The sequence below is a fragment of the Homo sapiens genome, chromosome 5 (genome assembly GCF_000001405.40).
Source record: "Homo sapiens chromosome 5, GRCh38.p14 Primary Assembly".
In the NCBI taxonomy this organism is placed as follows: Eukaryota; Metazoa; Chordata; class Mammalia; order Primates; family Hominidae; genus Homo; species Homo sapiens.
The window spans coordinates 131016116-131040004 of NC_000005.10; the positions used below are offsets into that span (position 1 = coordinate 131016116).

General features: G+C 37.5%; 1 long non-coding RNA gene across 3 annotated transcripts in view; it reads left to right on the plus strand.

Annotated features, from left to right (window-relative positions):
- The first annotated feature begins 3777 nt into the window (after positions 1 to 3777).
- Positions 3778 to 23889, plus strand: part of LOC105379172 (uncharacterized) — a 48658-nt gene continuing 28546 nt past the window's right edge. For 2 of the 3 annotated variants that reach the window (XR_948781.2, XR_948780.1), the window contains exons 1-4: positions 3778 to 3901; positions 6952 to 7081; positions 12123 to 12268; positions 20205 to 20281. This is a non-coding gene — a long non-coding RNA (uncharacterized LOC105379172). Of the gene's footprint in view, positions 4200 to 6951; positions 7082 to 12122; positions 12269 to 20204; positions 20282 to 23889 lie in introns of all 3 variants that reach the window. The other variant, XR_007058928.1, reaches the window with a different exon arrangement.

Genomic DNA, 23889 nt, shown 5'->3' on the forward strand with positions numbered 1-23889 from the left:
TCAGGCTAGAATTTCCAATACTGTGTTGAAGAAGAGTGGTAAGAGTGAACATCCTTGTCTTGTTCCAGTTCTCAGAGGAAATTCTTTCAACTTTTCCCTATTCGGTATTATGTTGGCTGTGGGTTTGTCATAGACAGCTTTTATTACATTGAGGTATGTCCCTTGTATGCAGATTTTGCTGAGAATTTTACTCATGATGGGATGATGGATTTTGTCGAATGCTTTTTCTGCTTCTATTGAAATGGTCATGTGATTTTTTTTTTATTCAGTTTATGTGGTGTATCACATTTATTGACTTGCATATGTTAAACCATCCCTGTGTCCCTGGTGTGAAACCCACTTGATCATGGTGGATTATCTTTTTGATATGTTATTGGATTTGGTGAGCTAGCATTTTATTAAGGATTTTAGCATCTATGTTCATCAGGGAAATTGGTCTGTAGTTTTATTTTTTGGTTATGTTTTTTCCTGGTTTTGGTATTAGGGTTATACTAGCTTCATAGAATGATTTAGGTAGGGTTCCCTCTGTCTTTATCTTTGGCATAGTGTCAATAGGATTGGTACCAATTCTTCTTTGAATGTCTGGTAGAATTCTGCTGTTAATCCATCTGGGTCTGGACTTTTTTATGTTGGTAATTTTTTTATTACCATTTAATCTCACTGCTTGTTATTGGTCTGTTCAGAGAATCTGATTCTTCCTGACTTAAGCTACGACAGTTGTATCTTTCCAGGAATTATCCATCTCCTCTAGGATTTCTAGTTTATGCACATAAGGGTTGAATGATGTTTTGTATTTCTGTGGTGTCAGTTGTAATATCTCTCATTTCATTTCTAACTGAGCTTATTTGAAGTTTCTCTCTTTTCTTGGTTAATCTTGCTAATGGTCTATCAATTTTATTTATCTTTTCAAAGAACCAGCTTTTTGTTTCACTTTTGTATTTTTGTTCGTTTGTTTCAATTTCATTTAGTTCTGCTCTGATCTTAGTTATTTCCTTTATTCCGCTGGGTTTGGGTTTGGTTTGTTCTTGTTTCTTTAGTTCCTTGAGGTATGACTTTAGATTGTCTGTGCTCCTTCAGACTTTTTGATGAAGGTGTTTCGGGCTATGAACTTACCCCTTAGTACCACCTTTTCTGTATCACAGAGGTTTTGATAGGTTGTGTCGCCATGGTCATTCAATTCAAAGAATTTTTTAATTTCCCTCCTGATTTTGTTTTTGACCCAATGATCAGAAGCAGGTTACTTAATTTCCATGTATTTGCATGGTTTTGAAGGTTCCTTTTGTAGTTGATTCTCAGTTTTATTCCACTGTGGTCTGACAGAGTGCTTGATATAATTTTAATTTTCTCAAATTTATTGAGGCTTGTTTTGCAGCCTCTCATATGATCTACCTTGGAGAAAGTTCCATGTGCTGTTGAATAGAACGTATATTCTGCAGTTGTTCAGTAGAATGTTCTGTAAATATCTGTTAAGTCCATTTATTCCAGGGTATAGTTTAAATCCACTGTTTCTTTGTTGACTTTGTGTCTTGATGACCTGTCTAGTGGTGTCAGTGTAGTATTGAAGTCCCCCACTATTATTGTGTTGCCATCTATCTCATTTTTAGGTCTATTATTAATTGTTTTATACATTTGGGAGTGCCAGTGTTAGGTGCATATATATTAAGGGTTGTGATATTTTCCTGTTGGACAAGGCCTTTTATCATTACATAATGACCCTTTGTCTTTTTTAACTGTTGTTGCTTTAAACTTTGTTTTGTCTGATAAAAGAATAGCTACTCCTGCTCGTTTTTGGTGTCCATTTGCATGGAATGTCTTTTTCCATCCCTTTTTCTTAAGTTTATGTGAGTCCTTATGTGTTAGATGTGTCTCTTGAAGGAAGCAGATGGTTGGTTGGTGAATTCTTTTCCATTCTGCAATATGTGTCTTTTAAGTGGAGCATTTAGGCCATTTACATTCAACACTGGTATTGAGATGTGAAGTACCGTTCCATTCATCATGCTATTTGTTGCCCATATACCTTGGTTTCTTGTTTTGGGGGGGTTCTATTAATTGTATTTTTGTTTTATAGGTCCTGTGAGATTTATGCTTTAAAGAAGATCTGTTTTGGTGTGTTTCCAGGATTTGTTTTAAGATTTAGAGTTCCTTTTAGGAGTTCTTGTAGTGCTGGCTTGGTAGTGGCGAATTCTCTCAGCATTTGTTTGTCTAAGAAAGACTATATCTTTCCTTCGTTTATGAAGCTTAGTTTCACTTGGTACAAAATTCTTGGCTGAGAATTGTTTCATTCGAGGAGGCTGAAGATAGGGCCCCAATTCCTTCTAACTAGTAAGATTTTTGCTGAGAAATCTGCTGTTAAACTGATAGGTTTTCCTTTATAGGTTATTGGGTGTTTTTGCCTGACAGCTCTTAAGATTCTTTTTTTCATCTTACCTTTAGATAACCTGATGACAATGTGCCTAGGTGATGATCTTTTTGTGATGAATTTCCAGATGTTGAGCTCCCTGTATTTGGATGTCTAGTTCTCTAGCTAGGCCAGGGAAACTTTCCTCAATTATTCCCCGAATGTATTTTCCAAACTTTTAGATTTCTCATCTTTCTCAGGAACACTGATTATTCTTAGGTTTGGTCATTTAAAATATTCCCAGATTTCTTGGAGGTCTTGTTCATATTTTCTTATTCTTTTTCCTTTGTCTTTGTTGAATTGGGTTACTTTGAAAACCTTGTCTTCAAGCTCTGAAGTTCTTTCTTCTGCTTATTCATTTCTATTGCTGAGACTTTCCAGAGCATTTTGCATTTCTGTAAGTGCGTCCATTGTTTCCTGAAATTTTGATTGTTTTTTATTTATGCTATCTATTTCATTAACTATTTCTCCCTTCACTTCTTGTATCGTTTTTTGGATTTCCTTACATTGGGCTTCCCCTTTCTCTGGTGCCTTCCTGATTTGCTTAATAACTAACCTTCTGAATTTTTTTTCAGGTAGAGCAGGGATTTCTTCTTGGTTTGGATCCATTGCTGGTGAGCTAGTGTCATTTTTGGGTGGTGGTAAAGAACCCTGTTTTGTCATATTACCAGAGCTGATTTTCTGGCTCCTTCTCATTTGGGTAGGCTTTGTCAGGGGGAAGGTCTAGGGCTCAAGGTTCCTTTCGTCCCACAGGGTGTTTCCTTGATGTAGTGCTCTTCCCCTTTTTCTAGAGATCTGGCTTCCTGAGAGCCAAGCTGTAGAGATTGTTATCTCTCTACTGGATCTAGCCTCCCAGCAAGTCTACCAGGCTCTGGGCTGGTACTGGGGGTTGTCTGCACAGAGTCCTGTGATGTGAAACACCTGTGGGTCTCTCAGCCATGGATCCTGGCACTTGCTCCAGGTGGATGTGGCAGGGGGTATAATGGACTCTGTGAGGGTCCTTAGTTTTGATTAGTGGACTATTTTTGTGCTGGTTGGCCTCCTGCCAGGAGGTGGCACTTTCAAGAGAGCATCAGCTGTGGTAGTACAGGAGGAAGGGGCAGTGGGCAGGGCCCTAGAACTCCCAAGAGTATATGCCCTTTGTCTTCAATTACCAGGGTGGTGAGGGAAGGACCATTAGGTGGCAACAGGACTAGGCGTGTCTGAGCTCAGACTCTACTGGGTGGGTCTTGCTGCAGTTGCTGTGGAGGATGGAGGTGTGGTTCCTAAGTCAATAGAGTTATGTTCTTAGGAGGATTATGACTGCCTCTGCAGTGTCATGCGGGTTGTCAGGGAAGTGGGGGAAAAGCTGGCAGTCACAGGCCTCACCCAACCCAGCTCCCAAGCAACCCAAAGGGCCAGTCTCACTCCCACCATGCCCACCCCCACAACAGCACCAAGTCTGTTTCCAGGTAGTGGGCAAACAGGAAGTTACCCCAGGCTACCCACCTCCCAGCTGCAAAAGTAAGTAGGGCATTCCTTCTTCCCCTGCCTGTGGAGTCTGTACGCCAGATTCACCCCCTCCCCAGAGTTCTGGCCAGGAGACTTCTCGATTGGTTCAAATTGTTACAAAGTTCAGCTGGAGGTTTCCTTCTCCCTGTGGCCTTTTCCCAGTGCCTCTGGCAGCCCTCCTCAAGGACACCTGTGAGGCGAGGCAGAAAGGGCCTTCTAGGGGATCCAGCAAGCCCGCAGGGATTTTCCTGCTGCTTCCTGTACCCCTGTATTTCTCTCAGTTCTCTAAACTGACCCAGCTCCAAGTAAGGTAAGAATCTTCTCCTGTCATCTAGACCTTCAGGGTTCCCCAGTGGGGGTGTGTGTTTGGGGGCAGACGATCTCCCTTTCCCACTTCCACAGTTTGGGCACTCACAGTATTTGGGGTGTTTCCTGGGTCCTTTAGGAGCAGTCGGCTTCCTTCAGAGGCTCTGTAGGTTCTCTTGGCTTTCCTAACGTATTCCTGCAATCGTTCTGAAGCAAAAGTTCATGATGTGAGCCTCCACACACTGTTTTGTCCGTTCAAGTGGCTGCAATCTAGTCCTGCCTCCTGTTTGCCATAATCTCCAGCTGTATCTCAAAACTTTTTATATAGTGTTATAAAGAGTTTTTAATGGTCAAAAAAACTTAATCAAAGTTGAAAGACAAATGACATATTGAGAAAAAAATCTTCAACCAATAAAGGATACATTTCTTCAATATATAAAGTGATTTCATAAATCTATAACGAAAAACACCAAGGACCCAATTTTTAACATGGGTGAAAGATATGAGCAAACCTTTGTCTCTCTCTCTCTCACTCTCTCTCTGTCTGTCTCTCACACACACATGTGCGTGCACACGCATGCATATGTATAAATATGCATAATTAAAGATATATAAATTAAAATAAGAGTAATACACCTTTTAACCTATCTGACAAAGACTTAACATTTTCTAATACACACTGTTAGTGAAGGAATAAACAAATAGCCATTCATATATTGTTGATTAGAGTATAAATTATTACAGACATCTTAGAAGTCAATTTGTTACTATCAAATTTGCAAATACAATTGATTCTCATTCTCAGTACTTATGATCTGTAAAGTCTCCAGAAACATTGAATTGGCAAATATTAAATCATTGCTCCTAGCAGAAATACTGAATAAATCGCCCCTAGGGCTAGATTTCTGCTAGTGTCTGGTCACCACCATTTTATCAACTCACTGGTCAATATACAGCCTTCTTTTACATGTGTTTCTGTTTAAAGCACCTTATTGAATATACATTGTTGACTCATTAACACTGAACTCATGGCCAACAGGAGTGGAACTCATGCCTGAACTAAGTTTATCTAATGCATCTATTTTCTCCACAAGGCACATCAGAGACTTCCTATGACTGGGAACACTAGGCCACACTCTACCACTATGCTTGGGGCCACTTTAAACAGTAAAATCACCTCCAAAACACAAAAATGAGGAAAACATGGCACTAAATAGACCCTGAAAAGGACTCTTGTTTCCAGTATAAGAGCTGGAACAAGAAGGTAGAGCAAGCCCAGCTGCAAACAAGCACATCGAGCAACTCAAATATGTTGCTGCTCTGTGCATATCCACAGATGACCATGAGAGCACAGCAAGTATTGGCTTGTATCCATTAATTTATGGTAAATTTCTGTTAGAACATCCACACTTTAAGACTACAAAGTGGGACCAAGGGCCCAGGGTGGGGAGCTCACTTTCCATTCTTCTGCACTGTTTGGATTAAAAGAATAATCTAATGGGAACTGAATTGTTGACATGGCATTTGCGCAACACAACAACTCTATTCTCTCCTTGGCTGAAAAGAGAACTAAGAACAGAACTTTCCCATGATTAAAAGATTGCAAAGAAGGGGAGAAAGCAGAAAATTTGAGTAAGCAGGAAATGAAGGAGGAAAATCAAGAGTTTGCAGAAGCCAGGTGAATTAACTGCGTCATGTGATGCTGCTAAGTCAAATAAAATACAGAGTGAAAATTAACCACAGGATTTAGCAATGTGGAAGTTACAGATGCCTTTATTGAGATCAGTTTTAGTGGAGTGATGGAAACAAGAAAACCTGGATTGTAGTAAGATTAAGGGAGAATGGAAGGAGAACTGGAAATAATAAAAATAGGCAATGCTTTCAATTTGCCAAGAAAAGCAAAGAAATGGTGTGGCAGTAACAGGGAAAGTGAAATCAAGAAAAGAGTTTTATTCAGATGTGAGGAATAATATGTTTATAAGCCGATGAGAATGATCCATAAAGAGAAAAATAAAAATTGTGTGAGAGTAGGCAGAATGTCTAGAACAACTAAATGAAGACCAGTGACACAATAAACAATAAACAAGTAACTACCAAGCCTTAAAACAATTTGATGTCTAATTTTTGCTTGTTCTTCTCCTAGCACAGTCCTTTAGGAAGACCACAGAATTGAGGAGACAGGATCATTACCTCGAATCTGAGGAATATGAAACTGTTTCCTGATGGAGCAAGAGCACAGTCCAACAGAAAAAACTAGAAATATATTCTGTAACAAGCTTAATAAGATGCAAACAAGGACATTAAAAATATGTTAGGCTCTTTCCAATTACGATGAGATACACGAATTTACCTGAGTAGGTACGATTTATTGTAAGGACAAGAGAAAGAAGATGAGACAGAAAACATTTTCAAACGGTACACAGCTGGACTGTTGGAAAACTGAATTTTTTTTTAAGATCACAGAAGTTGTAGTGTCTTATCCATCCATTCTCATCCTCTGCTTAGTACTTCCACTACGGCACACCTGTGGCAGCTTATCTCCTGTCTGTTTCCCCTATACTGTGTCTACTTCCCCTGCCATGGTTAATATCCTCTCTCCAGTCTCCTTCTTGCTATCACATGAGGCATCCTTATTCCTTTCCTTCTGGGAGTTCCCTTTACCCAGCCCCTTGAATGCATGTGTGTGTCTATAAGTGTGTGCCATTCAGACTTTTAAAGTGCAATTGAGTAATCCTTACATGACTCCTTTTATCAAGCCCTTGAACCTGCTTGCCTCAGTAACCATGGCAAGTCCAGATGGCTGCCTTAGGATCAGATGTAAACCTTGGAGAAACCAGCTGTGGCCAGTATGTCAAGTTTAAGCAGACAAATGAAGGTGACCTGTGGGTAAGAAAATGTATATGGACTGTTCTTTAAGTAAGGTTGGGGGTATGACAGCTTGGGATTGTTGGAGAGAGTTAGACACTAACAATGTCACATGGAGAATTACTGCTAGGAAGAGCAGGGGAAAGAAAGCAGTCAAAATTCTCCTTAGGCTGACTCTGGCACACTGCCTAAGAGTTAGCCCTGCTCTGGAAGGAACAGAAAAAAAAAAAAGAAAAAAGAAAGTCTCCTTCACTATAACAAGCAATGGAAGACTCACATTTATTAATAGAGAAAATAGTTGTATATAATACTCTCTTTTAAAAGTAGAATGATTTCATAAGTCTCATGAAGGCCTGCTTTGTACAAATTGGTGGTAACAAGCTCTAGACTGCTATTTTTTTAAATCATTTTGTGTGTATGCATTTTTCATAAGCAATCTGAATTTTGGAAATTTGGAGGATATATATACATGTCGCAATAGTGGTGGTTCACAGTTCATCAAGAATACATCTGCTAAGTATGCTTGAACCCTTTTCAGATTTTAAGGCCCCTGGAACCAGCCCCAGGGAGTAGATCCAAGGTGGCGTATCCTCAGGAAGAGAAAAAATAATACTCCAATCTGCCCTTTGGAGAAAAGAGAAAGCTAAGAAAGAGGCTGGAGACAAAAAAGTTACAACAGAGGTAGAAAAAAAAATTAGAGAATCTAGAGAGAGAAACAATGATAAAAATGTAGGGCAAGATAAGAAAATAAAATGAAAGGGGCAGAAACTGAAAAAGAGAGTACATTAATAACCTATTCAGAAAATATTTAAAATCCTGATAATAGCTCATGAGGGGAAAGCATTTGCATAGACCTCTTAGTAAAGTATGAAGTAAAATAATTTTTGTAAGGAAAATTTGGAAGCACCGGTCAAAAATTTAAATTATATTTGCATATATCCAAAACTTTCAGAACTCTCCATGAGTGAAGATTAGAATGGGTTGCAAATGTGGAAAAAGTAGAATGTGTGATTTAAACAGTACAGAACTTTCTGTCTTTCTCATCTACTGGTCTGGAGGTAAGAAAGCCAAGACTGCCCTGGTGGTTCTGGCCCATGATGTCCTGAAAGATCTAGGTCATTATCAGCTCTTCCCTAAGATACAACTCTCATGCTTATGGTCCAAGGAACTACTCACATTTCAGGCAGCAGGACAGAGGAACAAATGAAGAAAAGAGGAGCAGCGTGCACGTGCCATTTGTCTCTGAAAAAAAATGTTTCTCGAAATTGGTACAAAATACTTCCGTTAGCAATCCACTGTCCATAATTTAGTTATGTGGCCATAAAAAGAAACAAAGCAGGCTGGGAAATGAAGTCTTCATTCTGGACAACTATATGCCCCACTAAAAGTTCTAAAAGAGTAGAAAAGGGGGAAAAATATTAGGAACAGCCAGCTATCTCTGCCTCAAGCTGTTTCCTACAGAATTATACATACCAAGTGCCAACATTCATGTTCAAGCATATTTACTATGTGGGATAGGGAATGTTTGCTTCCTATTCTGTGTGCTCCTGCAATGTTTGTGTATGATAAAATAAATACTTATTACTTCCACAGTTTTTAAAATAAATCAATTAAGTAAATAATTTTAAAATAAATAATACTTTATTAATAAATCATTTTATTTTTATTCTTAATACTTATTGAAAATTTTTAAATTTAGTAGTCTAATGCTCTCTGGAATTTTAGTGATCAGGCATCATGAACTTTTTGCTCAGTCTTCTTTGTGGGGATTGTCCAATCTTATTCATGCTACTAGATTACATTTATATCATTAACCCACTCAGAAGACTGAATGGATGGACTTAGAAATAATAATGATATAGCTGTAAAATTAATTTACTTCATTTTAGCAAGTTCAAGTGCTTTAAATTTAATGTATAAACTAAATTCTAAAATACAAGAAATAAAAATAGTTTAGCTTTAAACCTACTTTCTGCTTAAAATAGTTGTAGTGGCATGAAGATACAAATATACCATTAATTTGAACTAAGAATCTCTTTGGGAAACAGAACTCAAAAACATTTGTAGCAATCCTTCAAGTCATGACTTTATGTAGCTTTGTAACGAGCTTTGTTTTCTATCCAAGTAAATGAAACCATTACAGCTGACCCTTGAACAACAGGGATTTGAACTGCATGGGTCCACTTATGCATGAATTTTTAAAATAAATATATTGGAAAAATTTTTGGAGATGTGTGACAATTTGAAAAAACTTGCAGATGAACCATGTAGTCAAAAGTATCAAAAAAAAAAGTTAAGTATGTTGTGAATGCATAAAATATATGTAAATAGTAGTCTATTTTATCATTTACTACCATAAAATGTATACAAATGTATTACAGAAAGTTAAAATTTATCAAAACTAATGCACAGAAACATTTACATACCATACATGGCACCATTCGTTGTAGTGAGAAATGTAAACAAATGTAAAGCTGCAGTATTCAATCATAACTGCATAAAATTAACTATAGTACATACTACATATACTACTGTAATAATTTTGTAGCCATCTTCAGTTGCTGCTACGGTGAGTTCAAGTGTCGTGAGGATCCGCTTAAAGTGCAGTGTGACACTGATATCTCCAAATGAGCAGTTTGTCTCTCTGGTAAATTGCTGTCACAGTAAAAAGCGATCTCTTGTGGTTCTCACATATTTTTCATCATGTTTAGTGCAATACTGTAAACGTTGAATAACACCATCAAACCCATACAAAGTGCTACTAGTGATGCTGGAAGTGGTCCCAAGAAACAGAGAAAAGTCATGACATTACAAGAAAAGGTTGAATCGCTTGATGTGTATTGTAGATTGAGGTCTGCAGCTGCAGTTGCCCACCATTTCAGACAAAGGAGTCAACTTGTAAGCAGATGACATAAACTTATGGGATCAATAAAAGCAGTATAGTACTGGAAATGTATTTTTATCTTCCTTATGATTTTCTTTTCTCTAGTTTACTTTATTCTAAGAATACAGTATATAATACATGTAACATAAAAATATGTGTTAATTGACTGTTTCTGTTGTTGGTAAAACTGCTAGTCAACGGTAGGCTATTAGTAGTTAAGTTTTGGGGGAGTCAAAAGTTATACGCAGATTTTCAACTGTGTGGGAGTTAGCACCCATAACCCTCCCCTCCATCCGCCATTGTTCAAGAGCAGACTGTAATAGCTAAATTCATATGAATTAAGAACATACTAATCAACACTTCACAAAAATTACTTACTGAGGTGAAGCAGAATAGTTGTTATGCCAACCATTATTTAATCTTTCTGATTTAGGTGCTGAATGTAATTAAATAATACCAGTAGTTGGCATTTCATATCATCTTCCTTTGTTCTCCATCAAAGCACTTTATAAATATTTATTTCTATAATATCATTATAACTTAAAGTAGTTTATTATTCCTTCTTATTTAGAAAGATGAGGAAACAGGCCCCAAGAGACAGCAAGTTTTCAAATGTTGTATTGCTTTTTATTCATATCTGGGATAACAATTCCCAGAGCTAGTGACCAAGGTGACTTAATTTACTTTCAAAGACTTCCAATGAAGGAATAGCTTCGAAATTAGAAGGATCTGGCAAAAAGTTCATGATTCTGCAGTCCCCTTATAGCCATTAGTATCACATGCCTATTGTTCTCTGTGAAGAGGCATTTCCAAAGAAGGGTCTTTATTACTATGAAGTTATCCCATGGTCCCAGTCATCCTCACTTTGGGGGTTTTAGTAAAATTTCCATTTTAATTATTTTTTATGCATAACTCTCACATACAAAACTTTTCCTTTTGAGGATAAATACATTAATATATCACTTGATGGATAATTATTTTTACATTTTGTTATACATGTAAAACAAAGAAAGCAGAATAACACTACTTAAGGTAAAGAAGAAAAGTCATTCTCTGCATTTGTCTTGATTGTTTCATAGAGCTTTCATGAAGTACACCGATGTCACCAATCTCTAACATAAATAGTAATGCTTTCCACGCTTAACAAGGGACATAAGTTTTCCCAAAACAGTCAGTGCTTTGGCTGACCTAGAGAGAAAAATTATATACTTCCTGGTATAAAAAAGATATAAAAACAGATCTTTAGAGGGATCTACATACAGTCTTATCAGAACATTATTATCTACAGCAGAACTGCTATGAGATGGGCACATCCTGATCCCTGAAGAATAATCTCCTAAAGAACGTGTTACAAAACAATGACTTCTGCTGAGAAATTCAATAGCATGCCCTCTGGGATTCACATTTTTTAAATGTGCTCTAGCAAGTTGGAAAAAAGCCTTACAAATCATTGAATACCTTCAACCATAACAAAATAAAAACAGGACATGATTTAGTGTATCAAATGTATGAACTGTTATTAGAAATGAGATAAAAATTATAATAGAAATTACTGTATTTTCCTTTCTTAACAACAACATGCATGTAGCCTAAGTAATACACAAATGTCATAAATTTGAAATCTGCAGTTATAGACAAGCATTAAAAATTGATGAACCCAAAGCTATTGAAATAAAAAAAAATTTAAAGAAAAATATATGGAGATGAAAGGCCCCAACTTCTTGTTGAATTTTCAGCTTGATACTTCGGAAAAAAATTAAAATAGTTTGATTAAACCTTAATAGATTCTTACAAGGTTATATCACTAAGTATTTTTTGTTTTGCTTTTTTTGTCTTATAAGTGAACAGATTAGGTTCTTCTTATTTTAAGAGTAAATTTCAAGTCCCAACTTAATAAATAATAAATGTTTGTTAAATGGTGGAAAAGTAAAGATCAAAGAAGTGAAGTAACTTGTCCAAAGTCAGCTAGTTAAAAGGCAGAAAATTCCACATTTGAGCACAGCTCTATATGAAGTTATTTCTGTTTTTAATCCACTATATGAAACTGCTGACAAGGTTTACTTTTCTCAGCAAATAAGTCTGAAGAAATAGCAAAGTCTCCATTTCTCATTTATTGCTGCTCTGTTTCCACCTCCATATTTCTACCCCACAAAGTCAGCCCTTCTTTTCTTTCTTTAGTGGGAATACACATTTTGAAACTGAAAAGAGATGGTATGTGGGGATGTACGGAGAACTTGTTGGAGTCTCTGTTGTGGACAACGCTTTATGTGGTTTCAAGCTTCACATACAAAAAAAAAGAAGGAAAGTGGCAGCACCCAAAAAAGGTATGAAAACATCCAGAAGAAATTTTAAAATAATTTCTATGATAAATTCTTTTTGAAAACTATCTTCAAGACTATTAAGATAATATAAAGAGGTACAAATAAAAATGAGATATTAAATGCAACCCTAAAAAGTATTTAATTCACCCAAAAAGTGGCAGAAGAGGAGGAAGAGAGAAATAAAAAGCAGATGGGACAAATAGAAACCAAACTTGTCAACAATTGTGTTAAATGTAAAAGTTCTAATTATAACAATTAAAAGACAGAGACTGTCAGACTGGATAAAAATTCAAGACCCAATTATGTTTTTTATAGTAAGCACAATATCTTTTTTTTTGGAATTTTTTTTATTATACTTTAAGTTTTAGGGTACGTGTGCACAGCATGCAGTTTAGTTACATATGTATACATGTGCCATGTTGGTGGGCTACACCCAGTAACTCGTCATTTAACATTAGGTATATCTCCTAATACTATCCCTCCCCACCTCCCGACCCCACAACAGGCCCTGGTGTGTGATGGTCCCCTTCCTGTGTCCACGGGTTCTCTTTGTTCAATTCCCACCTATGAGTGAGAACATGCGGTGTTTGGTTTTTTGTCCTTGCGATAGTTTGCTGAGAATGATGGTTTCCAGCTTCATCCATGTCCCTACAAAGGACATGAACTCATCATTTTTTATGGCTGCATAGTATTCCATGGTGTATATGTGCCACATTTTCTTAATCCAGTCTATCATTGTTGGACATTTGGCTTTGTTCCAACTCTTTGCTATTGTGAATAGTGCCACAATAAACATATGGGTGCATGTGTCTTCATAGCAGCATGTTTTCTAATCCTTTGGGTATATACCCAGTAATGGGATGGCTGGATCAAATGGTATTTCTAGTTCTAGATCCCTGAGGAATCGCCACACTGACTTCCACAATGGTTGAACTAGTTTACATTCCCACCAACAGTGTAAAAGTGTTCCTATTTCTCCACATCCTCTCCAGCACCTGTTGTTTCCTGACTTTTTAATGATCTCAATTCTAACTGGTGTGAGATGGTATCTCATTGTGGTTTTGATTTGCATTTCTCTGAAGGCCAGTGATGATGAGCATTTTTTCATGTGTCTTTTGGCTGCATAAATGTCTTCTTTTGAGAAGTGTCTGTTCATATCCTTCGCCCACTTTTTGATGGGGTTGTTTGTTTTTTTCTTGTAAATTTGTTTGAGTTCATTGTAGATTCTGGATATTAGCCCTTTGTCAGATGAATAGATTGCAAAAATTTTCTCCCATTCTGTAGGTTGCCTGTTCACTCTGATGGCAGTTTCTTTTTCTGTGCAGAAGCTCTTTAACTAGATGCCATTTGTCAATTTTTTGGCTTTTGTTGCCATTGCTTTTGGTGTTTTAGACATGAAGTCCTTGCCCATGCCTATGTCCTGAATGGTATTGCCTAGGTTTTCTTCTAGGGTTTTTATGGTTTTACATCTAACATTGAAGTCTTTAACCCATCTTGAATTAATTTTTGTATAAGGTGTAAGGAAGGGATCCAGTTTCAGCTTTCTACATATGGCTAGTCAGTTTTCCCAGCACCATTTATTAAATAGGGAATCCTTTCCCCATTTCCTGTTTTTGTCAGGTTTGTCAAAGATCAGATAGTTGTAGATATGCAGCATTATTTCTGAGGGCTCTCTTCTGTTCCATTGGTCTTTATCTCTGTTTTGGTACCAGTACCATGCTGTTTTGGTTACTGTAGGCTGGTAGTACAGTTTGAAGTCAGGTAGCGTGATGCCTCCAGCTTTGTTCTTTTGGCTTAGGATTGACTTGGCAATGTGGGCTCTTTTTTGGTTCCATATGAACTTTAAAATAGTTTTTTCCAGATCTGTGAAGAAAGTCATTGGTAGCTTGATGGGGATGGCATTGAATGTATAAATTGCCTTGGGCAGTATGGCCATTTTCACAGTATTGATTCTTCCTACCCATGAGCATGGAATGTTCTTCCATTTGTTTGTATCCTCTTTTATTTCATTGAGCAGTGGTTTGTAGTTCTCTTTAAAGAGGTCCTTCACGTCCCTTGTAAGTTGGATTCCTAGGTATTTTATTCTCTTTGAAGCAATTGTGAATGGGATTTCACTCATGATTTGGCTGTCTGTTTGTCTGTTCTTGGTGTATAAGAATGCTTGTTATTTTTGCGCATTGATTTTGTATCCTGAGACTTTGCTGAAGTTGCTTATCAGCTTAAGGAGATTTTGGGCTGAGACAATGGGATTTTCTAGATATACAGTCATGTCATCTGCAAACAGGGACAATTTGACTTCCTCTTTTCCTAATTGAATACCCTTTATTTCCTTCTCCTACCTGATTGCCCTGACCAGAACTTCCAACACTATGTTGAATAGGAGTGGTGAGAGAGGGCATCCCTGTCTTGTGCCCGTTTTCAAAGGGAATGCTTCCAGTTTTTATCCATTCAGTATGATATTGGCTGTGGGTTTGTCATAGATAGCTCTTACTATTTTGAGATACGTCCCACCAATACCTAATTTATTGAGAGTTTTTAGCATGAACGGTTGTTGAATTTTGTCAAAGGCCTTTTCTGCATCTATTGAGATAATCATGTGGTTTTTGTCTTTGGTTCTGTTTATATGCTGGATTACGTTTATTGATTTGTGTATGTTGAACCAGCCTTGCATCCCAGGGATGAAGCCGACTTGATCATGGTGGATAAGCTTTTTGATGTGCTGCTGGATTAGGTTTGCCAGTATTCTATTGAGGATTTTTGCATTGATGTTCATCAGGGATATTGGTCTGAAATTCTCTTTTTTTCTTGTATCTCTGTCAGGCTTTGGTATCAGGAGGTTGCTAGCCTCATAAAATGAGTTAGGGAGGATTCCCTCTTTTTCTATTGATTGGAATAGTTTCAGAAGGAATGGTACCAGCTCCTCCTTGTACCTCTGGTAGAATTCGGCTGTGAATGTATCTGGTCCTGGACTTTTTTTGGTTGGTAAGCTATTAATTATTGCCTCAATTTCAGAGGCTCTAATTGGTCTATTCAGAGATTCAATTTCTTCCCGGTTTAGTCTTGGGAGGGTGTATGTGTCCAGAAATTTATCCACTTCTTCTAGACTTTCTAGTTTATTTGCATAGAGGTATTTATAGTATTCTCTGATGGTAGTTTGTATTTCTGTGGGATCGGTGGTGATATCCCTTTATCACTTTTTATTGCCTCTATTTGATCCTTCTCTCTTTTCTTCTTTATTAGTCTTGCTAGCGGTCTATCAATTTTGTTGATCTTTTCAAAAAACCAGCTCCTGGATTCATTGATTTTTTGAAGGGTTTTTTGTGTCTCTATTTCCTTCAGTTCTGCTCTGATCTTAGTTATTTCTTGCCTTCTGCTAGCTTTTGAATGTGTTTGATCTTGCTTCTCTAGTTCTTTTAATTGTGATGTTAGGGTGTCAATTTTAGATCTTTCCTGCTTTCTGTTGTGGGCATTTAGTGCTATAAATTCCCCTCTACACACTGCTTTAAATGTGTCCCAGAGATTCTGGTGTGTTGTGTCTTTGTTCTCGTTGGTTTCAAAGAACATCTTTATTTCTGCCTTCATTTCGTTATGTACCCAGTAGTCATTCAGGAGCAGGTTGTTCAGTTTCCATGTAGTTGAGTGGTTTTGAGTGAGTTTCTTAATCCTGAGTTCTAGTTTGATTGCACTGTGGTCTGAGAGACAGTTTGTTATAATTTCTATTCTTTTCCATTTGCTGAGGAGTGCTTTACTTCCAACTATGTGGTCAATTTTGGAATAGGTGTGGTGTGGTGCTGAAAAGAATGTATATTCTGTTGATTTGGGGTGGAGAGTTCTGTAGATGTCTATTAGGTCCGCTTGGTGCAGAGCTGAGTTCAATTCCTGGATATCCTTGTTAACTTTCTGTCTTGTCGATCTGTCTAATGTTGACAGTGGGGTGTTAAAGTCTCCCATTATTATTGTGTGGGAATCTAAGTCTCTTTTTAGGTCTCTAAGGACTTGCTTTATGAATCTGGGTACTTCTGTATTGGGTGCATATATATTTAGGATAGTTAGCTCTTCTTGTTGAATTGATCCCTTTACCATTATGTAATGGCCTTCTTTGTCTCTTTTGATCTTTGTTGGTTTAAAGTCTGTTTTATCAGAGACTAGGATTGCAACCCCTGCCTTTTTTTCTTTTCATTTGCTTGGTAGATCTTCCTCCATCCCTTTATTTTGAGCCTATGTGTGTCTCTGCACATGAGATGGGTTTCCTGAATACAGCACACTGATGGATCTTGACTCTTTATCCAGTTTGCCAGTCTGTGTCTTTTAATTGGAGCATTTAGCCCATTTACATTTAAGGTTAATATTGTTATGTGTGAATTTGATCCTGTCATTGTGATGTTAGCGGGTTATTTTGCTTGTTAGTTGATGCAGTTTCTTCCTAGCCTCAATGGTCTTTACAATTTGGCATGTTTTTGCAGTGGCTGGTACCGGTTGTTCCTTTCCATGTTTAGTGCTTCCTTCAGGAGCTCTTTTAGGGCAGGCCTGGTGGTGACAAAATCTCTCAGCATTTGCTTGTGTGTAAAGTATTTTATTTCTCCTTCACTTATGAAGCTTAGTTTGGCTGGATATGAAATTCTGGGTTGAAAATTCTTTTCTTTAAGAATGTTGAATATTGGCCCCCACTCTCTTCTGGCTTGTAGAGTTTCTGCCGAGAGATCAGCTGTTAGTCTGATGGGATTCCCTTTATGTGTTACCCGACCTTTCTCTCTGGCTGCCCTTAACATTTTTTCCTTCATTTCAACTTTGGTGAATCTGACAATTATGTGTCTTGGAGTTGCTCTTCTCGAGGAGTATCTTTGTGGTATTCTATGTATTTCCTGAATCCGAATGTTGGCCTGCCTTGCTAGATTGGGGAAGTTTTCCTGGATAATATCCTACAGAGTGTTTTCCAACTTGGTTCCATTCTCCCCGTCACTTTCAGGTACACCAATCAGACATAGATTTGGTCTTTTCCATAGTCCCATATTTCTTGGAGGCTTTGTTCGTTTCTTTTTATTCTTTTTTCTCTAAACTTCTCTTCTCTCTTCATTTCATTCATTTGATCTTCCATCGCTGATACCCTTTCTTCCAGTTGATTGCATCAGCTACTGAGGCTTGTGCATTCGACACGTAGTTCTCGTGCCATGGTTTTCAGCTCCATCAGGTCCTTTAAGGACTTCTCTGTCTCTGTTATTCTAGTTAGCCATTCGTCTTAATTTTTTTTGAAGGTTTTTAACTCTCTGCCATTGGTTAGAACTTCCTTCTTTAGCTCTGAGTAGTTTGATTGTCTGAAGTCTTCTTCTCTCAACTTGTCAAAGTCATTCTCCGCCCAGCTTTGTTCCATTGCTGGTGAGGAGCTGCATTCCTTTGGAGGAGGAGAAGCACTCTGATTTTTAGAGTTTCCAGTTTTTCTGCTCTGTTTTTTCCCCATCTTTGCGGTTTTATCTACCTTTGATCTTTGATGATGGTGACGTACAGATGGGGTTTTGGTGTGGATGTCCTTTCTGTTTGTTAGTTTTCTTTCTGACAGCCGGGACCCTCAGCTGCAGGTCTGTTGGAGTTTGCTGGAGGTCCACTCCAGACGCTGTTTGCCTGGGTATCAGCAGCAGAGGCTGCAGAAGAGCAGATATTGGTGAACAGCAGATGTTGCTGCCTGATCATTCCTCTGGAAGTTTTGTTTCAGAGGAGTACCTGGCCGTGTGAGGTGTCAGTCTGCCCCTACTAGGGGGTGTCTCCCAGTAGGCTACTCAGGAGTCAGGGACCCACTTGAGGCAGCAGTCTGTCCGTTCTCAGATCTCCAGCTGCATGCTGGGAGAACCACTACTCTCTTCAAAGCTGTCAGACAGGGACATTTAAGTCTGCAGAGGATTCTGCTGCCTTTTGTTTGGCTATGCCCTGCCCCCAGAGGTGGAGTCTACAGAGGCAGGCCTCCTTGAGCTGTGGTGGGCTCCACGCAGTTCGAGCCTCCCAGCCACTTTGTTTACCTACTCAAGCCTCAGCAATTGTGGGCGCCTCTCCCCCAGCCTGGCTGCCGCCTTACAGTTTGATCTCAGACTGCTGTGCTAGCAATGAGTGAGGCTCCGTGGGAATAGGACCCTCCAAGCCAGGCACAGGATATAATCTTCTGGTGTGCCGTTTTCTAAGACCGTTGGAAAAGCGCAGTATTAGGGTGGGAGTGACCCGATTTTCCAGGTGCTGTATGTCACCCCTTTCTTTGACTAGGAAAGGGAATTCCCTGACCCCTTGCGCTTCCTGGGTGAGGCGATGCCTCACCCTGCTTCGACTCATGTTCAGTGCACTGCACCCACTGTCCTGCACCCACTTTTTGACACTCCCCAGTGAGATGAACCTGGTACCTCAGTTGGAAATGCAGAAATCACTTGTCTTCTGCATCACTCATGCTGGGAGCTGTAGATTGGAGCTGTTCCTGTTCGGCCATCTTGGCTCCACCCCACAATTTCAAAATAAAGATATACATAGGTTGAAATTTTAAAAGGAAAAAAACTATTTGCCCTCCCATGACTATGCATAATAAAGCTAATGTGGCCATATAAATAAGAAGTAAGGATCCAGGTGGGTATTTAAAGTAAATATTATCAGAGACAGAAAGACCTAACAAAAGGGCGAATTAATCAAAGTAATGCAAAAATACTAAATGTGCTTGTATTTAATATTAAAGCTCCCAAAAATATAAGGCAAAAAAATGGTAAAACTAAAGGAAACCATAGACAAGTTCTCGTTCATAGTTGGAAAATTTAATGTCTCTCTCCTATTAATAGAAAGAACCAGTGAACCAAAAAGAAATCAGTAAAGATACAGAATATCAGAACAATATTACCAATTAAATTGCCCTAACTTTTATGGAACACTGCATCCAAGAAGAACAGAATGCACATGAAACAGTCACCAAAATAGACCGTGTAATGGGCCACATAACAGGCCTCAGTAAATTTAAAAGGTTTGAAATTATACAGAATATGTCCTCTGATTACAATGGTATTAAATTAGAAATCAATAAGAAACCTAGAAAATCTCCCAAATGTTTGAAACTTAAAATACACTAATAAATAACACATGGCTCAAAAATAAAGCACAAAAGAAATTAGAAAATATTTTGAACTCACTGAAAACAGAACATGTTAAAATTTTTATGATACAGCAAAACTACTTCTTGGAGGGAAATTTATAGCTTTAAATGTCTATGCTTTTTAAAAGAGTAAAGATATAGGCCGGACGCGCTGGCTCACATCTATAATCCCAGCACTTTGGGAGGCCGAGGCAGGTGGATCACGAGGTCAGGAATTCAAGACCAGCCTGGCCAAGATGGTGAAACCCCATCTCTACTAAAAATACAAAAAATTAGCTGGGTGTGGTGGTGGGTGCCTGTAATCCCAGCTACTTGGGAGGCTGAGGCAGGAGAATCGCTTGAACCTGGGAGGCAGAAGTGGCAGTGAGCGGAGATTGTGCCACTGCACTCCAGCCTGGGTGACAGAGTGAGACTCTGTCTCAAAAAAAAAAAATGAAGATATAAAATCAGTTTCTTCTGATTCTAATTTAAGTAAGAAGGTTTGGTGTTTGGTGAGGGCCTGTTATCTGCTTCCAATATGGCAACTGGTTGCTGCATCCTGTGGAGGGGGCATACTTTGTCTACTCACATAGCAAAAGGGACAGAAGGGCCAAAAAAAAGGGCATAGGTAGTTCTCTCAAGCCCTTTAATAAGGGTAATAATCCATTCATGAGAGCTCATGACTTAATCACTTCCCCCAAAGACTCCACCTCTTAATACTATTGCATTAGGGATTGAGTTTCAACATAAATTTTGAAGAGACACAAAACATTCAAACCATTGCGGCATCTAAGTAAAGCCTATAGATAATATTATACGTAACACTAAAGTAATAATTTTTTTCCTTAGATCAAAACAAGGCAAGGATCTCTGCTCTCGACCCATCTATTCAATATTGAACTAGAGGTCCCAGATGGTGCAATAAGGTAAGGAAAAAAAAAAAACAGGCAGAAAGATTCAAAAGATAGATATAAACTGTCTTTATTCTCAGATGACATGGTTGTGTTTGACAAAAATTATAAATAATTTACAAGAATACAGCTAAAAGTAATAAACAAATTTAGTAATGTGGCACAACATAAAGTCACTATCCAAAAATAACTACATTTATTTACCTATATACTAGTAATTAACCATTTGAAAATGAAATGAAATTTTAAGCTGGGCACCAGTAGCTCATGCCTGTAATCCCAGCACTTTGGGAGGCCGAAGTGAGTGGGTCACTTGAGGTCAGGAGTTTGAGACCAGCCTGGCCAACATAATGAAACCCCATCTCTACTAAAAATAAAAAAATTAGCCAGGTATGATGGTGCATGCCTGTACTCCCAGCTACTAGGGAGGCTGAGGCAGGAGAAACCTTTAACCCAGGAGGCAGAGGTTACAGTGAGCCAAGATCAAACCACTGTACTCCAACCTGGATGCAGTGAGATTCCCTCTCAAAATAAATAAATTAAATTTTAAACTTTACAAAAGCATCAACTATTTAGAAATATACTTAGCTATAAAACGTTACTGACAGAAACTAGAGAAAACCTAAATAAATGAATAAATACTATGTTCATGAAGCAGAAGACTCAATATTAATGTCAGTTCTCCCCAAACTTATCTTCAGATTCAATGAAATAACAATTAAAATCTATAGAAGTTTTTTTAATTGGTGAGATAATTTTAAAATTTATCTGAAGAGACAAAGGATGAAAATAGCTAAAATTCCCTTTAGTGGGAAAAAAAGAAGAAAAATGGAGAACTTATGCTACCTGACTTTAAGACTTCTTATAAAGCAACTGTAATCAAGAGGAAAATAGCACTGGAAAAAGGAGATAAATGGAACTGAATAGATAGTACAGAAATAGAGCCTTGGTTTTAGTAAGAGCAGTATAGCTAATAATAAAGAGGGGTAAAGGAACCCCTCTTTAATAAATGGTACGGAACAACTGAATTTCCCTTTGGAATAAAATAATTTTGATACCTACTTCACACCATACTCCAAATCAAAGATTGATAATGGACTCATATACAAACACTACAACAATAAAGCTATTAGAAGAAAATATAGGAGAAAAACTTTAAAAGCTTGGGTTAGGCGCAGGTTTCTTGGCAAGTGCACAGAAATTACAAATCATAATAGAAAAAGAATTTATTTTTATAATTTATCTAAATTATATCTAAAACCTAAGAAGTTTTGCTCTTCACAAAACTTCGTCAAGAAATAAATATAAAGCCATGTCTGTGCGATACAATATTCATAATACATAAAACTGACAAAGTATTTATAGCAGAATATACAAAGAACATCTGTATCACCTAACAAAAAGACAAACAACCCAATTTAAAAATTAAAACACTTAAACACATCACAAAAAAAGATATGTAAATGTTGTGTGGCCAATAATTTGTAGAAAAAGTGTTCAATATCATTTGTCATCAGAGAAATTCAAGTTAAAACCATAATGAGATATCACTTCATGCTCATCAGATTGGCTAAAATGAAAAAAAAAGTGCCAAATGTTGAAAAGGACATGGAGCAACTGGAACTCTCATTCATTGCTAGTGAAGTATAAAATGCTACAACAACTTTAAAAAATCACTTGCCGTTTTCTTAAAATGTTAAACATAAATTTACCCGATGATCCAGGACTCATATTTTCCTTCTAACTGTTCCACTCCTATTTACCCAAGAGAAATGAAAGCATATATGCACAAAATCACTTGTACATGAATGTTCACAGCAGCTTTATTAATAATAGCCAAAAACTGGAAACAACCCAGATGATCGTCACCAAGTAAATGTACAAGGCAAGGATCCCTGCTCTCGACCCGTCTATTCAATATTGAACTAGAGGTCCCAGATAGTGCAATAAGGTAAGAAAAAAAAACAGGCAGAAAGATTCAAAAGATAGATATAAACTGTCTTTATTTTCAGATGACATGGTTGTGTTTGACAAAAATTCTAAAGAATTTACAAGAATACTACTAAAAGTAATAAACAAATTTAGTAATGTGGCAGAACATACAACAACTATGGTACACTCATATAATGGGATACTTCTTAGCAATGAAATGGCATGAATTACTGACATGCATTAAAACATGGATAAGCCAGGTGCAGTTGTTCATACCTGTAATCCCAGCATTTTGGGAGGCTGAGGCAGGTGGATTACTTGAGGCCAGGAATTCGAGACCAGCCTGGCCAACATGGTGAAACCCTGTCTTTCCTAAAAATACAAACATTACCCAGATGTGGTGGCACATGCCTGTAATCTCAGCTACTTGGGAGGCTGAAGCACGAGAATCACTTGAACCCAGGAGGTAGGTGGAGGTTGCAGTGAGCTGAGATCATGCCACTGCACTCAAGGCTGGGTAACAGAGCAAGAATTTATCTCAAAAAATAAAAAAGGAAACATTATGAAATTATTATGCTTAATGAAATAAGCAAACACACAAAAAAAGTATATCTGTATGATTCCAGCTAGAGTATATGAATTCTAGAATAAGCAAAACTAATCTTCGGGGATATAAATCAGTTTTTGCTCCTGGGGAGGTTGACTGGGAAAGGTAAAAGGAATTTTCCAAGATGGAAATGTTCTGTTTATTGATATGCATTCATCAAAGAGGATTAAATGGTACATGTAACATCTGAGCATTTCATTTTATATTATCTTTATCTCAGTTGAAAATGGGGAAAAAAACTATTTTCAGGAATAAATTAACCATGAACTCCAAGCCTTTTTCTGCTACCATTCTGATTTTTTTATATGCAGCACTATATTTTAGCCCATATTACCTGAGAAGAAAAAAAGACTATTTCCTTATGAATATTGTATAATGCAGCTAATATTCAGATGTGTTTTCATACACATCTAAATGCAACTATAACACTAAGACTATTTTGCAGTAAACAGTTCCAAAAACTGAAGGTTTCAATTGAAAAATTTGTAGGTTTCAATTCAAATTTTCAATTGAAAAATTGAAAGCTATGCCTTTCTTAACTGACATGACTCTTTCCTGCAATCACAAAAAAGAAGGCTAATATAATGTGATAAATTGAAAACATTATACAACAAACTATACATAATAAAAAGGTATTTTAGTAATAATATTTTAAATCTCCTAATGTATACAATTCAATTCAATGCAATAATTCTTTGATTTCAAATAGGTTCATAGCCACATCCAGGCAAATTAATCAGGTGACATTTTATTGGCCTGATATCTTAATGGCTCTGGTTTAGTACAACAGCAACAAACACTGCTGGAACGGTTCTTCAGGATCTATTAAAATCAGGAAAGACAAATTCAGTTAATTGGCATGCCAGCATTAATTTGCCCAAAAGGCCTATTACTTCCTCAATTTTTGTCTTAGTCTTGGCCTCATGTCTTTCTGTCCCAAGATATTTTCAGAGCAAAGCTCCTACAGAATTAAAGAGCTAGAATTCTTTTGTTCTACATCAGGCATACTCAGGAATGCCATCAACTGGTTAGATGGCTAATGATCAGGTTGCACCCTTATCATAGCTTGGTCTATGATCAAGCA